A 17,905-nucleotide genomic window follows, 5' to 3' on the forward strand; every position below is an offset into this window, starting at 1 on the left:
TATGAGGCAGTTAAGAATTTGGGTCATCCTCCGTCTCCACTAAAAATACAAAAAATTAGCCAGGCGTGGTGGCGGGCGCCTGTAGTCCCAGCTACTCGGGAGGCTGAGGCAAGAGAATGGCGTGAACCCAGGGGCAGAGGTTGCAGTGAGCCGAGATCATGCCACTGCACTCTAGCCTGGGCGACAGAGCGAGACTCCATCTCAAAAAAAAAAGAATTTGGGTCATCTCAATTAAATATAGAATTTAAGATTACCTTGAAAATTCAGTGCAGAGTATTTTGCCTTCATCTGTTGTTTGAGTCTCCCTTCTTTTAGCCATCCTTCCATCAGAAATAGAATACCAAGTTAAACTTCTTAATTAGAATCAGGAATCAGGACTCTTTGGCTGCTGATTGAAGGAAGAACTGTCCTTAAATCCAGAGTGGGCCAGTTGTGGTGGCTCATGCCTGTAATCCTAGCACTTTGGGAGGCCAAGGCAGGTGGATCACCTGAGGTCAGGAGTTCAAGATTTCAAGACCAGCATGACCAACATGGTGAAACCCCATCTCTACTGAAAATACAAAAATTAGCCGGGCGTGGTGGTGTGTGCCTGTAGTCCCAGATACTTGGGAGGCTGAGACAGGAGAATTGCTTGAACCCAGGAGGTGGAGGTTGCATGAGCCGAGATCACGGCACTGCTCTCTAGCCTGGGCGTCAAGGCAAGACTCCATCTCAAAAAAACAAAACAAAACAAAAAAAACATCCAGAGTGGTTGATAGTCAAGACAAAAAGCTAGATTATTTTTGTTAGTCTGGGAAATAAGCACCTCAGTGGCCCAAAGACAAGGCCTGAAATTTCCATGAAAAGAAACTGGGATCTATTCATCTGTTCTGTTGAGACCCCATAGTTCCATACCATAGAAATGGGCACAGTGGGTTTTGGGGGGAGAGTTGTAAGTGTAAGCTGTCTGTTCCTCTGTTTACTGAGAATTGTGGGTGTCCACTGAGGCAGTTCATATTTGGCAGATGATTGAGTCCTGATTTCTCAGGGCCGGCAGACTCTGGTGTTACTAATCTTGTGGAAAAGTCAACCCATTGAGAAGATTTTATGCAGAAGTTTTAAATGCACATTGATCATAATTTGAATATGTCACAGTCTTTGTTTTTCTTTTCAGCCAATCCTGAGGCAAAAGAAACATTTTAATTCACTGCACATTCCAAAAGCCTTGCAGAAGGCCCTGCCATTTAAGAACAAGCCCAAGACCCAAGCAAAGGCAGGCAAGGTGCCAAAGGACAGGCGGAGACCGGCCGTCATACGCGAGCCTCATGAAAGAAAGGTACTGTTGCCCATGCTGTACTGCACGCTGCGTTTAGATAGGAAAAGAACACTCTCAATAGCACACTTCCTGTTTCTACTGTAGTCTCAGTTATTCAGGGCACTGGAACTAAAGTCAGAGGAAGAGCCAGAGTCCATTTCCCTTTCTTTGCCTGGTCCTGCTCTGCCCTGTGCTTTTCATGGGGGATAACAGGTACATGGCTGGGGAACCCTTCTGTCTCGGTTAGCTGCACACAGTGTCCACAGAATGATGAACAGAGGTGGTAAAGGTAAAATGGGATCACACCTGTGTCTCCATGCCAACAATGACTTCCTAGCACAGGATGCATTTTCATGCAGTTAATATTCATTTGGATCGTGGGTTGCCTCTAGTCTTAGTGCTTAGGATGCGAGTGTGTGGTGTCTGAGAGCATTCTGATACTCACCGGCTTTTGTCCTTGTCAGATCCTTGCACTGCTGGATGCTCTGAGTACGGTGCATAGTCAGAAGATGAAGAAGGCCAAGGAGCAGCGGCACCTGCACAATAAAGAGCACTTCAGAGCCAAGCAGAAGGAGGAGGAGGAGAAGCTGAAGCGGCAGAAGGACCTCAGGAAGAAGCTCTTCAGAATTCAGGGGCAGAAGGAAAGAAGAAACCAGAAGTCCAGTTTGAAGGGGGCTGAGGGCCAATTGCAGTGAGCCTTTGGACTGGAGGGACTGTCCCTGGATCTGCGGAGGTAGACAGTTTCAAACATCACAGTTTGAATGCCTGTGAATGACAAGTCAGTGGGAAAGAGCTCAAGAGATGTCTCTACTCAAACTGTGCCTGCAGGAGGAGGAACAGAGAAGCCTGGGCTGCTGGGACTGGGTTCATTCTCATGACTTGGGGCTGTCGAGATTTAAAGTGATGTAAGCTGTGGTTATGTGGATTCTCTTACTTTCCTCTGCCTGCCTCAGTTTAATTATTTTGTCCTACAGAAATATCATTAAAATATTTTTTTGTTACTTTTGGCTTAGTAGTTTTCATTAGGGATGAATGCCTGACAATTCTTTGTGGATAATTATTTATACTACCACCTTCATGAGGAGTCTTCCAGAAGAGAAAGAAATATTCACTTGAACTCTGAGCTCCCATGGAAGATTTTAGAGAATAGTGTGTAGTGTTTTTGTTTTGTTTTTTGTTTGAGTGACACACAAACCTAGATGGTACAGCCTACTGTGCACCCAGGATCTATGGGCTCCTTTGATCACTGGCCCTTGTGGACATTTTCTATCTTATTTCATATGTTCTGCACATTAGTATAGTGACAAGGTAACAGTAAGTACTTTTTTAAAGCTTTAGACTTAGGAGATTATTGTCTCAGGTGCAGAGACCAAGGAAATCGTATGTATCAGTGAGATAGGCTTCCCGTATTATGCTCATGCGTTATACCTGCCTAGCTACATTGCCTTTTTTTAAATTAAACATTATGTTGAAGTAATCATACTATTACATAGGCGATGTATGTATTTTATGATTGTATGTTGATATAGTTATGGGGAATCTATTCCTATACGATGTAATCATAGATTCACATATAGTTGTATATTTTGCCCAATTTCTCTCAGTGGTAATGTTTCACACATATAACAATCAGGATGTTGACATCAATACAGCCCGCTGATTTTATTCACATTTCCCCAGCTTTACTTTCCCCAACGTATACTCCTCCATGTATGCATGGGTGTGTAGAAATATGGAACGCAGCTGGGCACAGTGACTCACGCCTGTAATCCCAGCACTTTGGGATGCTAAGGCAGGAGGATCACTTGAGCCCAGGAATTTGAGACCAACTTGGGCAACATGGCAAAACCTCATCGCTACAAAAAATAAAAAATTCGCCAGGTGTGGTGGGTGCACACCTGTAGTTCCAGCTGCTTGGGAGGCTGAGGTAGGAGGATCACTTGAGCTTGGGAGGTTGAGGCTGCAGTGAGCCATGATAGCACCACTGCACTCCAGCCTGGGCGACAGGGCAAGACCCTGTTTCAAAAAAAAAAAATTATACATATATGTATGTAGAACACTTCATGAATTTGTGTGTCATCTGTGCATGGGGCCCATGCTGACCTCTGTGTTGTGCCAGTTATAGTATGTGTGCTGCTGATATGAGTGCCACATTGCCTTTACAACATCATAGGGGCCAAAGAGGGTTGGCAGGATTATGAGCAGTTGGCCTAGTCTGAGAGGCTCTCTAAAAGCCTAAAGTCTGTAGGCAGGTGCTCAGCTTTGTATCTCCATAAGAAGGGAAGAGGATGTGAGGATCCTGTCAGGGCTAGGTCCACCTGGGAAGTGACAATTGGAACACTCCCAGACCTCTCTGGGCAACTCTGGGTGTACATTTTCCTCTGTTCCTCAAGAGCTATTATGAATTTCATCATCCATTATGCTGATAGGCCTGGGGACTGACACATAGTAAGCCCATAACAATTATAATTTAAAACTAATTTGTTATATAGCATAATTGATATATTTTAAAATGCAAAACTATAATTCAACTAAAATATACAAGGCACTCAAGTCATACCATGTTTTAAGTAGCTTACAAGGTGATCAGCAAGTGTCTTATACAACAAGCAAATTTGTTCAAAGAGAAGCATTGCAAATAAGTATTTATAATTGTATAGTTTTATATTTTAGCCAGAAGAGTGGAATCCTTTAGCAATGGGGGAAATAAAAGAATGTTTAATTACAGTTGCAGATAATTGCCTTTTCCAAAGACAATGTATGTAGGCAGAACTCATACCTGTTAATATTAAAAATCTTGGTTTATCATATTTGGAGAACAAGGGAAATAAAAAGTTTGCATATTAAGATTATTTAAACTAAAGTTAAGGAATCTCTAATGTCTGAAAGAAACAATAAATAGCATTTTTCATGTAGAATTTTTATTGGTGAAGGTTCCACCTGGCCAGGTTAGTAAAATACAGTCACACATCAGTTAAGGATGGGGATATATTCTGAGAAATGTATCATTAGGCAATTTTGTCATTGTGTAAACATCATAGAGTGACACACAAACCTAGATGGTACAGCCTACTGTGCACCTGGGCTCTATGGTATGGCCTGTTGCTCCTAGGCTACAAACCTGGGCAGCATGTGACTGTACTGACTACTGTAGGCAGTTGTAACACAGTGGTAAACATTTGTGTATCGAAACATAGAAAAGGCGTAGCAAAAATACAGTATTGTGGAACCACTGCCATATACGTGGTCCATCCTTGACTGAACATCATGCGGCATGTGGCTGTATGTATACACATAGTTTTTGCTGTGAGTTTGCATCCATCTCATAGGAAGACATATATCAAAATAAGGACCAGACTGGAGAGTGTGTAAATTACTTTTCAATACTAATGGCTTATTAATTTGATATTGTCAGCAAGTATGTTGCAAAAACAAATTCCACCAGAATGTGAGTTCCATGAGAGCAGGAACTGGGTTGTTCACCTTGTTGGCACTTGGAGTAGAGCCACTGAGCTTCGTGCTGCATAAAATTGCTTGGAAGAAAGAAGGGAGGGCATTCCAGGTAACTGAAGCATTGCTATGCAAAGTAAGCATTTGCCCTCTGAAATATTTTAACAATGTTTATAGAAACCTTTCTCAATTGTATTAAACTTTGTAAATTGTAAAAATTATTCTGTTATACCTTTTCTATTTACTAGGCACAGGCAGCCATAGGTGCTAGGTATGTTTTGAAAACATATTGAACCTACAGTGTACATATCATTCCATGCCATTAAATATTCTTATTTAATCATAGATGTGTTCAGGTGTGTTTGGTTTCCTATTTGTGGATGTACTAGATTGTTTTCTTTTTTTAACAAAACCTGTGAACTTGCTTTAAGTATTATCATTTGGTGACATGCCCGCCATTTCAGAAATAAATGTTTGAGCAAAGAGGAAAGCCACCGGGTCTGATTCAGCTCTCTGGAGGCTCCAGAGCTTACCTCGCTGATGGGAAAAAGAGCATCGATTTAATTGCCCTTGGTACCGACTTCTAGTATCTAGTATTTTGCCAGACTCAGGTATTTCTTAAAGCCATTATTCAGAGTCTTCAGCAAGGACATTGTATTTTACTTGTGTCTCCTTAGTTTTACCTAGTTTATTTCATGGTTTTAAAGTATTGTACATTTTTATAATCCTTTAACAAGACAAAAGGTTGAGATGTTGGACATTTAAATGCCAAAGGTGTTTTATTATGAGACTTAGCATTTCATATTTGGGGATGGTACCTTATCGAAAATCAGATAAACTTTGGTTGGATGGGTATTTGGAGGAATCTTTTAAGTCTTTTCTTAAGCAAAGTTTGGACACTCTAAAATAAGGTTGCCAACTGGCATGTAGAGAGAAAAGGATGTGTCATACATTTAGACCAGGTGGCCTGTCCTGTAAATTTTTTTGAGGGGAGGGGTGGGCTTGTTTTTTTCTGTGTTTCGGTTTTTTCCAATTTTTGTTTTGTGATAAAATATGCATAATAAAACTTATTTTATCAATTTTTAATTGTATGAGTCAGTGGCATTACCTTCACAGTGCTGTTGCAGCCATCTTCAGAGCCTTTCCATCATCCTAAACTGAAACTTTGTACCCACTAAACTACATCTTCTCATTCCCTCCTTCCCCCAGCCCCTGCAACCACCATTTTGTTTTCTGTCTCTGACTACTCTAGATACTTTTGCAAATGGAATCATACAATATTTGTCTTTTTGTGTCTTGTTTATTTCACTTAGCATACTGTCTTCAAGGTGTGTCCAGTTGCAGCATGTGTCAGAATTTCCTTCCCTTTTAAGGCTGAATAATATTCCCAGTGAATGTCTTTACCACACGTTGCTTATCCATTCATCTGCTGATGGATGTGTGGGCTGTTGGGAATAATGTTGCTTGAACATTGGTGTGTAAATATCTGTGTGAGTCTCTGCTTTCAGTTCTGTGTGTAAAAGTGGAATTGCTGGGTCAAATGTCATTCTGTGTTTAATTGTGTGAGGAACTGCCACACTGTATCCACAGTTGCTGTGGATTCCTTACATTTCTTCTAGCAATATGTACAAGGGTTTCAATTTCTCCACAGCCTAGACCACCCTCATTACTCTGTTTTTTTGTTGGTTGGTTGATTGGTTTCTTAAAAAACAGGCATCCTAGTGTGAAGTTGCATCTCGTTGTGATCTGTATGTTGGGAATGACTAGTGATGTTGAGCATCTTTCTGTGTGCTTATTGGCTATCTATAGACCTTCTTTGGAGAAATGTCTATTCAAGTCCTTTGAATCAGATTTTTTTGTTGTTGAATTGTAGGAGTTCTTTTTATATTCTGGATATTCAACCGTTATCAGATAAACCATTCACAAATATTTTCTCTCATTCTTTGGGATGTCTTTTCACTCTGATAGTGTCCTTTGATGGGCAAAGGTTTTTTAATTTTGAAGTCCAATTTATTTTTTCTTTTGTTGCCTGTGCTTTTAGTGTCATAGCCAAGAAATAACCAAATTATTGTTTAGTTTTTTAAAAGTATTTATGCGATTATTTGGCTGATACCTGTCTCTAATGATTGACGGCACTTCTTGAGGGTGGCTTTTAAACATGCAAATTTGATGTCACTTTCCGAGGCTCCTTCCATGGCTTCCCTTTGCTTCTAGGCCGCAGCCCTTGTCCTTGCTGCTGCTCTGGCCCCTGCCCTCCTCTAGGGCCTCTCTTCTGCTGCCTCCAGCTCTGGCCACAGTGGCCTTTCATTCGTCGGTGCACTTGCCTGGGGTCCTCAACACATGCAGTTCCCTCTGCCTGGAATGCGGCAGCTCCTCCGCCCCCTCCCGGCCTCCACCTCCTCGCTGCTCCTTCTGAGGCTGGCCCTGAGACCACTGGTCGGTGCGGCCTTCCCTGGACCCTCTCCGAACTCCCCAGTACTCCTCCAAACTTTTCTCCAATAAACCAGTGGCACTCAGTTGTGCTGTCCAGGGACCCCTGGGATTTTCACGACCCCTGTCGGCGGCTGGGTGAGGTCAAGAATGTTTCATGACAATAAGGAGATGTTATTGACCTCTTTTCACTGGAAGTGGGAGCGTCTTGCGGGGGGGCAGCGGGCTGAGGATGCGGCTGTGTTAGGACGTGACAGCTCGCACAACTGAAGCACCGCCACTTTCCCACAATTTTTTTTTTTTTTTTTTGCTTTGGAAAACATTTCTCAAGAAAATATGCGACTTATGTTACCATGTAATGGGCTTGCTTCTGTTATTTTAAAACAAACTAATAAGTCTCCTAAATGTTTCTCGGCTTTATTTTTTGTTGTTATGGTTCCTTTTCTTCTGTTTCCCCCAGCTTTATGAAGGTGTAATTGACAAACTTGCATATCTTTACTGCTCACAGCGTGCTGTTTTGCTGCATGTGTGCCCTGTGGAACGCTTCGTGGCGCTGCTGCAAACCTCCATCACCTAGTGCTGTGAGGGCCCCTGGGATCCGCTCTCCCAGCTCTGCGCCCTCTACCCCCTGCTGTGCCTGAGGCCCCCCCACCTCCCTCGGACCCGCGCCCGCCGCTGGAACCGCACCCATGGCCCGCGCCCCGTCCCCGACCCGGCTTTAGTTTCCACCCACACGAAGAAACTCAGCCTCGGTCCTGTTTAGGCACGGAAAGGGCTGGAGAACCGCGTCCTTCCGAGGCGCCCCCAGCGCGGCTCCCCACGGCGTGCAGGACCCGGGACTGTCGCGCCGCGCCCGGGGACGCACAGGAGGTGGGACCCCGGAGCGAAGCCCCTGCAGCGTCCCGGGCTGGACGTGGCCCTGCACCCCCGGCTGCTGGGCGGGCCGGGGCATGTACGAGATCGCGCGCTTTACAAACTGTCGGTCGTTCTGGGAAAGTTAAAGAACGCGCTGCAGCTACTTCACCTGCTGCTGAAAGGAGCCCGGGCAGGGCTGGTCACTCCGCGCCACGCCCCGCGCGCCAACACCGGAAGGTGAATGTTCAGAACATTTTTATCATTTAAAGCCAGTATATTGGCTGGGCACAGTGGCTCACACCTGTAATCCCAGCTACCTGGGAGTCCGAGGCAGGAAGATCCGATTGAGCCCAGGAGTTCCAGAGCACCCTGGGCAACATGACAAGACCCTATCTCTACAAAAAAAAAAAAAAAAAAGCCGAGAGTGGTGGCGCGCACCTGTGGTCCCAGCAACTCGGGAGGCTGAGGCAGGAGGATGACCTGAGTTCAGTAGGTCTCCAGCCTGGGCGACAGAGCGAGACCCTGTCCATTAATAAATAAAGCCAGTGTACCTAAAATACCATCACAACATGGAATCAGCATAAAAATGATTATTGAACTACTTGACATTCCTGTTTTGTGCTAAGTCTTTGAAATTTGGTGTGGCGTTTTGTTTTGTTTTGTTTTGTTTTTTGAGACAGAGTTTCGCTCTTGTTGTCCGGGCTGGAGTGCAATGGCACGATCTCAGCTCACTGAAACCTCAGCCTCCCAGGTTCAAGCAATTTTCCTGCCTCAGCCTCTGGAGTAGCTGGGATTACAGGCGCCCGCGACCACGCCGGGCTAATTTTTTTGTGTTTTTAGTAGAGACAGGGTTTCGTGATGTTGGCCAGGCTGGTCTCAAACCCCTGACCTCAGGTGATCCGCCCACCTCGACCTCCCAAAGTGCTGGGACCACAGGCATGAGCCACCGTGCCCAGCCCAGTGTGTTGTACTCTTATAGCACCTCTCAATTCAGATCTAAATTTTGTGGGAAATAATCTATATTTAGATTTCACAGTATTCACAGTTGAAAAAATAGATGTATATCCCCTTGTTTCAAATGTAACTGAACCTAGTCACTTGTTTGAAATTCAAATTAATTAAAATTAAAAATTTCCAGTTCTCGGCACCAGTTACACATTTCAAGGGCTCAATGGCCCCATGTGGCAGTGGTCCCGTAGAGGACGGCACAGCTCTAGACATGGTGTAGGAAGTTGGAGAAGGCTTCCTTAGGGAAGCAAGTGACGGTTGAGCCATGACTAGAAGTTGGTTAACTTGGCAAAGGCTGGGAGTTGGGGAAGCAGAAGAGTGTGTCAAGCACAGGAATGTTATGTGGAAAGGCCTGTGACACAGGGCAGCATGACGCCTGCAAGCCAGCGTAGCTGGAGCCAGGACAGCAGCAGAGAGTCCTAGGAGCTGGAGAGGAAAATAGAGAGGCAGGGGATGAGGCCGCCTTAAGAGGCTATCTTCATCCCGAGACACCAGGAAGCCCTGGGAGAACATTTAGCTGGGACAGCGTGGTTAGATTTCCATTTTTCAAAAAGCCCCTTTGCTACTGGGTGGAGATAGTTTGCAGGAAGTTTAGGGGAAGGAGGCACAGAGAGGGAGAAGTGGTGGGTGCTAGAGCTCTGAGAGGTAACATTGGAGGGGTAGTAGGTCTGGGGGTTGTGAGGAACAAGGGGTTTTCAGGGAGTACCCCAGGGCCCCCAGGTGTCTGGCTGGGATGCCAGGTGGAGTGATGGGCACCTGTGGGACAGCCAGGCAGAGACATCTGAGGCGGCAGCTGGGGAACTGTCTGGAACTCCGGTTGATGTGCTACCTGGGCTTAAGATGTACTCCCAAGAGTTACCAACACCTACACTTGGGAGTGGGTGCATTATCCAGGGAGGAGCCAAGGTTGAACACAGGTGGGTTTTTGTTCAGCATTTTAAAAAATTTTCATTTTTTTTTGTAGAGACAAGGTCTCATTTTGTTGCCCAGGCTGGCCTCAAGAGATCCTCCTGCCTTGGCCTCCCAAAGGGCTGGGATTACAGGCGTGAGCCACTGGTCCCAGTCTGTTCAGCACTTTTTCCACTAGCTTAGTATCTCCACATACCTCAAAGAGATCACCAAGTCCAACTCATACATGCAAACCAGTGCTCAGGAAGTCCACATGATCCTGCTGTGGTTCATTTGACCAAAACTGAGCGGTGGAGCTAAGCAAGGCTGTTTCACAGAAGCCAGATATATAAGTGTCCTCAATATGGAGGGCAGTCACCATCTCCCAGTGTCTCTGACTGCTGCAGGCACACTTGGCAAACTGTGCTCAGGTCAGGGATGGTCTGGGTGGGGGCTCCAGTTTCTGCCACTCACCAGTGATGTGACTCTGGGCAATGTACAAAATCTCTTGGGTTTTAAGTTTCTTAGATGGGGATAATAAACCAATCTTGCAGCATGTGAGGATTTAATGAGACTACAGTTCCCATGAAGGGGATGGGGTGCTGACCTTCCCACACAGTCAAAAATCCACATATAGGCCGGGTGTGGTGGCTCACGCCTGTAATCCCAGCACTTTGGGAGGCTGAGGCGGGCAGATCATGAGTTCGGGAGTTTGAGACCAGCCTGATCAACATGGTGAAACCCCGTCTCTACTAAAAATACAAAAATTAGTCAGGCGTGGTGGTGCGCACCTGTAATCCCAGCTACTCAGGAGGCTGAGGCAGAAGAATTGCTTGTACCCAGGAGATGGAGGTTGCAGTGAGCTGAGATCTCACCACTGCACTCCAGCCTGAGGGACAGAGTAAGACTCCGTCTCAAAAAAAAAAAAAAAATCCATATATAACTTTCAACTCACCACAACTTTTGTTAATAGCCTACTGTTGGCCAGAAGCCTTACCAATAACATAAACACTCAACACATATTTTGTATGTGATTTGTATTGTATACTGTATTCTTACAATGAAGTAAGCTACAGAAAAGAAAAAGTACTAATAAAATCATAAGGAAGAGAATGTATTCACTATCACTAAATGGAAGTGGATCATCATAAAGGTTTTCATCCATATCATCTTCACATTGAGTAGGCTGAAGAAGAGAAGAGGTTGGTCCTGCCATCTCAGGAATGGCAGAGGCAGAAAAGGTGGGGGAGATGGGAAGGAAGGCAGGAGACGCACACATGCTGAGAAATTCATCGTTATTTCTGTCTGACATTTTTGCTTTTTCATTTCTCTAAATATGTTTCTTTGTGATACCAATCCTCCTTCCACCATTTGCTTTAGTTTTGGTGCCCGTACCATAGAAAGGTCCATATGGTAAAAGAAGTCACAAGCAGTCTTGAATAATCGGAACCCCTCTGCCAGATTGTCGAATGTCAACTTATTTTCTGGTACTGCGTCTACATCCACTTCTTCATCATCTGGCACTGATTCGAAAGCACTCATCTCCATCAAGTGGTCTTCTGTTAATTCCTCTGGTGTGATGTCTATTCACTCTTGAATTTCTCCAAGATCCATATCCTGAAAGCCTACATTCCCCACCTTTTTTGCCACAGGCACACTCTCTTTCATGATTTCCTTGATTGGCCCTATTGTAAATCTGGACACAGTTTTCTCCAGTAGGAAGGCTGGGCACTGAGAGCCTTCGAACCTTCTGCTTCACCTTTTGACATTTAGGGCCCAATTTTAATGCATTTAAATGTTGCCTCCACTCTGAAATGAACATGGGACGTCTGTAATGTGTGAAATAGGTGTGTCTCACCCCCTTCATGAATATTCATAGAGCCTTCTATAACCTGTTGAATATGTACATTTAGCCAACCCTTTCAGCATAACTTCCTGTCTCACCTTTCTGTCCCTGGAAGTGCCTACTTTTGGTCTTTGCTGGAGGCTAGACTTCCCAGCCTGTCAAGACAGCCAGGCTGCAGGCTGCAACCTTTCTAAGAAATAACGCTTTTGGGCTGGCCCAGTGGCTCATGCCTGTAATCCCAGCACTTTGGGAGGCTGAGTTGGGTGGATCACTTGAGACCAGGAGTTCGAGCCCAGCCTGGCCAACATGGTGAAACCCCATCTCTACCTAGAAAAAAATACAAAAATTAGCCAGGTGTAGTGGCATGTGCCTGTCTTCCCAGCTAAACGGGTGGCTGAGGCAGGAGAATTGCTTGAACCTGCGAGGCAGAGGTTGCAGTGAACTGAGATTGCACCACTGCACTCCAGCCTGGATGATAGAGCTAGACTCTGTCAGACAAAAAAAAAAAAAAGAGAGAAAGAAAGAAAGAAAGAAGAAAGAAAGAAAGAGAAAGAAAGAAAGAAAGAAAGAAAGAAAGAAAGAAAGAAAGAAAGAAAGAAAGAAAGAAAGAAAGAAAGAAAATAAGGCTCTTGGCCTGGCACAGTGGCTCATGCCTGTAATCTCAGCACTTTAGAAGGTCGAGGTGGGAGGATTGCTTGAGCTCAAGAGTTCGAGACCAGCTGGGCAAGATAGTGGGACCCCTGTCTCTACAAAAACAAGTTTGAAAATTAGCCAGGCATGGTGGCACACACCTGTAGTTCCAGCTACTTGGGAGGCTGAGGTGGGGGATTGCTTGAGCCTGGGAGGTTGAGGCTGCAGTTAGTCATGATTGTGCCACTGTACTTTAGCCTCTCCAAATTTGTAGATCTCATAATTTTAAGTCACCATCCTCCACCAGTCTTTCGTTTTAAGTTGTTGTATAATGATATCAGTTTTTCTTGAATCATATTAGAATCTATAGATATGCTTTTCTTATAGATATCCTGCACCCACATAAAAGCTGCATTTTCTCTATTTCTCTGTCCTTCCTTCCTTCCTTCTTTCTTCTTCTTCTTTCCCCCCCACCCCCCTACAGAGCCTCGCTTCCAGGCTGGAGTGCAGTTGTGTGATCTTAGGCTTACTTCAGCCTCCACCTCCTGGGCTCAAGTGATTCTCCTGCCTCGGTCTCCCAAAGTGCTGGGATTAAAGGCATGAGCCACTACATTCAGCCAAAAGCTACATTTTCAAGACTAGACAAAAAGGTATTTGGCAAAAAGAGCAAAGTTTCATGTCTGCTAGCATGGCTGCAGTGATGACACTGTGAATTTCCTTTTCTTTTTTTACAATGGTTCTTACACTGGATTAATTTATCTTGAAATGGTGGGCAACCGCAGCTGCAGACCTCAGTCTACAGTACATATCAATCAATCCACCTTTTTCTTGTACTGTCAAGACTTTTCTCTGCTTTTTGGCAGCACTTCCAGAATCACTAGTGGCGCTTCGTACGCGTCTCGATGTCTTCTTCAGATTTATGGTATTGCACTAAACATGAAAAATACATGAGAACCACGAGAGATTACTTTTCACTGTGATACACAATCTACAGGAGAGACAAGTGCTCACACGGAGATGGCTAGTGTCACATGGCATTTTAAGTGGACACTCGACACCTGAGCTCACTGCAATAGTAGCAGGAGGGGCGACAGAATTACTACAGTAGTACAGTGGGCTCCCATTAATTTATGCAATTATGACTTAATACTGCATCTTTACATTTGTTTACATTTCTCTTGACTGAATGGCACCATGTACTGTGTTTGTGTGCATAACTTTTGATAAATTTTAACTGTTTATAGTTGATTTATGTATGTTTTATGGTGGTAAATGATAAAAATATGCTAGTATTTTATGCATTCATGACACACCTTTTTCTTAACTTTTTCAATATTTCTAGGCTACAAGGTTCATCTGCAAGTTTCTTCAAATGGTTGCAATGCTTACTGCAACCTCCATCTCCTAGGCTCAAGTGATCCTCCTGCCTCAGCCTCCCAAAGTGCTGGGATTACAAGCATGAGCTACTACATCTGTCCAAAAGCTGCATTTCCAAGACCAGGTAAAAAGGTATTTGGCCAAAAGAGCAAGGTTTCACGTCTGCTGGCATGGCTGATGTGAAATTTTCCAATACATTTTTCCAATATATTTACTGAAAAAAAAAACTGGGCCAGGTGTGGTGGTTCATGTCTGTGATCCCAGCAATTTGGGAGGCCAAGGTTGGGAGGGTTACTTGAGTCCTGGAGTTCGAGACCAGCCTGAGCAACATAGCGAGACCCCGTGTCTCTTTTTTTTTTTTTTTTTTTTTGAGACAGAGTTTCACTCTTGTTGCTCAGACTGGAGTGCAGTGGCATGATCTCGGCTCACTGCAACCTCCACCTCCCGGGTTCAAGTGATTCTCCTGCCTCAGACTTCTGAGTAGCTGGGACCACAGGCACGTGCCACCACTCCCAGCTTTTTTTTTTTTTTTTTTTTTTGTATTTTTAGTAGAGACGAGGTTTCACCATGTTGGCCAAGTTGTTCTCAATCTCCTGACCTTGTGATCTGCCCATCTCGGCCTCCCAAAGTGCTGGGATTACAGGCATGAGCCATCACACCTGGCCAACCCCGTGTCTGTTTAAGAAGATTTAATTTAAAAAAAAATTTTTTAAGAAAAAATCTGTATGTAGGTGGATCCATGTAGTTCAGACTTGTGTTGTTCAAGGGTCACAATTGTATCTGTGGTGACTGATACGAAACAGATGACCAAAAAATGATAGTTTTATTTCCCCATCTGGTCCCATTTAAAAGAGGTGTTTAGGTCTGAGAATTTTCACACGTACAAGGTTCCACAGTCAGGATGCCAAGAAGCTGCACCCCTCTTGCTGGAGTCCAGCCCTCCCCACCCAACCCTGCTGACTGCTGATGCGCCTTCCATCCCTGTCACACCGTTGTCTCGGGAAGGTTGTGTGAGTGGAGACACACAGCATGGGATCTTTGTAACTGGCTGCTTTCGCTAAGCATCATGTTTTTCAGATCCACCCCAATGCTCTGTGTGTCAGTGGCATGTTCCTTTCAATTGTGGAATGGTGTTTGCCTGCACAGGGAGACACAGGTAGTTACCTCTTCATCCATGGGAGGACGTGCGGTTGTGTCCAGATTTAGGCGATTATGGATAGAGTTGCTGTAAACATTTGTGCAGAGGTTTTCATGTGAACACAATTTTTCCTTACTCCAGGGAAAATCGTTATGGGACTGCTGGGCCATGTGGTTTAACACAACTGTCAGAGTGCTTTCCAGTGGCACCTCACTATGGTTTTGATTTGCATTTCCCTAATGACTAGTGTTGATGGTCTCTCATAGGCTTGCTGTCTTCCACATACAGCGTCCTCTTCGGTGAGGGTCCAAGTCTTTTACCCACTTTTGTTTGGATGGTTTTCTAACTGTTGATTTTGAGAGTTCTTCATATATGTCGGACTACTTTCTTTGTTGGATATGTGGTTTGTAGATATTCTCTCCCAGCCTATAGCTGTCTTTTCAGCATCTTTTAATAGTCTCTTTTGCAAAGTTATATTTTTTATTTTGATCAAGTCTAATTGATGGATTTTTGCTTTTACATGCATTTGGCATCATGTCTAAGAACAATTTCCCTAACCTCAAGTAATGAAGACTTCTTCCTATGTTTTCTTCCAAAACTTTAAACACTCTCTCTCTCTCTCAGCAAATACGGAGGAAACATTCATGACAATTGCAATTCTGGTTTCTGTAGCTGGTCACGTGGTCCTATAACTACCTTCTTCCACTCCCCAGTCTGTATTCCCTTTGCCTTCAGGAAGCCTCTGCTGGTTGTGGTTTTTAACCTGGTGGGGAACCTTCATTCCCAAAGGTTCTGGACAATTATTAATCCTGCCTAGATTGGGCTGTTGTGCTTTTCTATTGATCTTAATCACAGCGCATGCCACGAGGGCCCTCCTATACCCCAGACATGCTCTTCCCCAGTCCATTGTGAAGCAGCAGGGCAGTTTCTCCTTGGTGGTCTGGACCAGCCACCCCCACCAGCGTAGTTAACTCCTTCTTTACCTGTTGATCCAGAGGCATGAAGAGCTTGGCGCCATCAGGTGGCAGCCTAAACTTCCAGCGCAATGGATCATCCCTGTGTCTCTTGGGGGCAGCATTCCTCCCTCTGGAACTAAGATCTCTAGGCCAGCAGAGCATAAGGTGGTGGGGACAAGGAGCAAAACTTTTGCTAGTGGGTCACTAGGGGTGATGGTGAGTAGTGCTATGCTAGGAGTCTTGGCTATGGGAGGAATAGCACCATGTATTGGACACTGATTCCGAGCATATCCAGCCTTCTGAGAGCCTTGCCCCAGCCTTGAAAGGCACTGCCACCGAGCTGCACTGTCACTGAGTCCTCCAAAGGCCATTATTCCACCATCTGTCAAGCCAGCTGCCTCAGGACAGTGGGAGCCTGGAAGGCCAGTGAATTCCATGAACATTGGGCCATCGCGGCATTTCTTTTGCTGTGATGTGAGTTCCTTAACCAGAAGAAATGCTGTGTGGATACCATGACAGTGGAGAAGGCGTTCCGTAAACCCACAGGTGGTAGTTTCAGCAGAAGCACTGTACTCAGGGAGGGCAAATCCATATGCAAAGTGTGTATTCCACTTAGAACAAATACTGCCCGTTCCATGGTGGAAAAGGTCGTAGGTAATCAACCTGTCACTAAGTGGCTGGCTGATCACTCTGGGAGATGGTGTCATACTGGGGACTCAGTGTTGGTCTCTGCTGCTGGTAGACTGGACATATTGGTGGCTGTAGAGAGTTCGGCCTTGGTGAGTGTGAGTCCACAATCCTGAGCCCATGCATAACCTCATCCCTGCCACCATGGCCACTTTGTTTCTGAGACCCTGGGGTGATGACAGGGGTGGCTGGGGAAAGAGACTGACATCTACAGAATGGGTCATCTTATTTACCTGTTATTAACGTCCTGCTCTGCTGAGGTCACCCTTCAGTGAGCATTCACATAGGCACACATATCATCACATTTTCTGCCCCTTCAGTGAGGTCTATCCACATACCTCTTCCCCAGGCTTGTCTGTCACACATCTACCTATCATGTTCCCTGCAAGTCCCTAACCAGCCAGCCAAATTATTGGCCACAACCCATGAATTGGTATATATAATCTCACGTCTGGCCATTTCTCCTTCCAAGCAAACTGCACAATCAGGTACACTGCCCCAAGCTCTGCCCATGGGGAGGGTTACTCTTCACCTTTGTCCTTTAGGGATATCCTAGAAGGGGGCTGTCATGCTGCAGCTGTCTGCTTTCAGGTGGTACCTGGGTATCACACAGAACCATCTGTAAGGGCCAAGAGAAGGCCTGAGCCTTCTCTCCCTCTGTCATCTGATCCTAGAGAACTCCCCATGAGGCCATTGGTGCAGGCTGGGAGAGAGAAGGCAGTGTACTAGGGGTGGGGACCATGGGCATTTGGGCCACTTATGCAGCCGACTTATGCCTTCAGGGCCTGCTGGGGCCTGTTCACACACAGACCCCTTTCCTCTGATGATGGAGCGCTGCCATGCATGCCCACCTCATGCTTCATGGGTCAGATAAAACTCAGTTCATGTTGGTCAGCTCAGGTCACATGGGAACTTGGTGATCCCCAGTTAAGCGTTCAGCCTAGTGGCAGATGAACAGATGTTTCTCAAAAGGAAAATAGTTCTCCCTCTCCCTCTCCCTCTCCCTCTCCCTTCCCTCTCCGTCTCCGTCTCCCCACGGTCTCCCTCTCCCTCTCCCTCTTTCCACACTCTCCCTCTGATGCTGAGCAGAAGCTGGACTGTACTGCTGCCATCTCGGTTCACTGCAACCTCCCTGCCTGATTCTCCTGCCTCAGCCTGCCGAGTGCCTGCGATTGCAGGCGAGCGCCGCCAAGCCTGACTGGTTTTCCTATTTTTTTGGTGGAGACAGGGTTTCGCTGTGTTGGCCGGGCTGGTCTCCAGCTCCTAACCGCGAGTGATCCGCCAGCCTCAGCCTCCCGAGGTGCCGGGATTGCAGACGGAGTCTGGCTCACTCAGTGCTCAATGGT

The 17,905-nt window shown here is 45.5% G+C and overlaps 1 protein-coding gene and 1 pseudogene across 4 annotated transcripts in view, besides 1 other annotated feature; one reads left to right on the forward strand and one right to left on the reverse strand.

Annotated features, from left to right (window-relative positions):
- The window catches only part of BMS1 (BMS1 ribosome biogenesis factor), a 52,143-nt gene extending 46,313 nt beyond the window's left edge, over positions 1-5,830 (forward strand). For all 4 annotated transcript variants that reach the window (XM_005271846.4, XM_047426040.1, XM_011540402.3 and 1 more), the window contains 2 exons: positions 1,154-1,315; positions 1,759-5,830. In XM_005271846.4, the coding sequence (XP_005271903.1) occupies positions 1,154-1,315; positions 1,759-1,989 (393 nt within the window). In that variant the 3' untranslated portion in view covers positions 1,990-5,830. The remainder of the gene's footprint in view (positions 1-1,153; positions 1,316-1,758) is intronic.
- On the reverse strand, positions 3,340-3,443 carry RNU6-885P (RNA, U6 small nuclear 885, pseudogene; annotated as a pseudogene).
- Positions 7,502-8,452: an enhancer, noted in NCBI's record as "H3K27ac-H3K4me1 hESC enhancer chr10:43332057-43333007 (GRCh37/hg19 assembly coordinates)". NCBI's record gives its function as "activates a minimal SCP1, AML or CMV promoter by ChIP-STARR-seq in naive H9 embryonic stem cells {active_cell/tissue: H9 hESC(naive)}" and the evidence as "EXISTENCE:reporter gene assay evidence [ECO:0000049][PMID:30033119]".

This window comes from Homo sapiens, chromosome 10 (assembly GCF_000001405.40).
Source record: "Homo sapiens chromosome 10, GRCh38.p14 Primary Assembly".
In the NCBI taxonomy this organism is placed as follows: domain Eukaryota; kingdom Metazoa; phylum Chordata; class Mammalia; order Primates; family Hominidae; genus Homo; species Homo sapiens.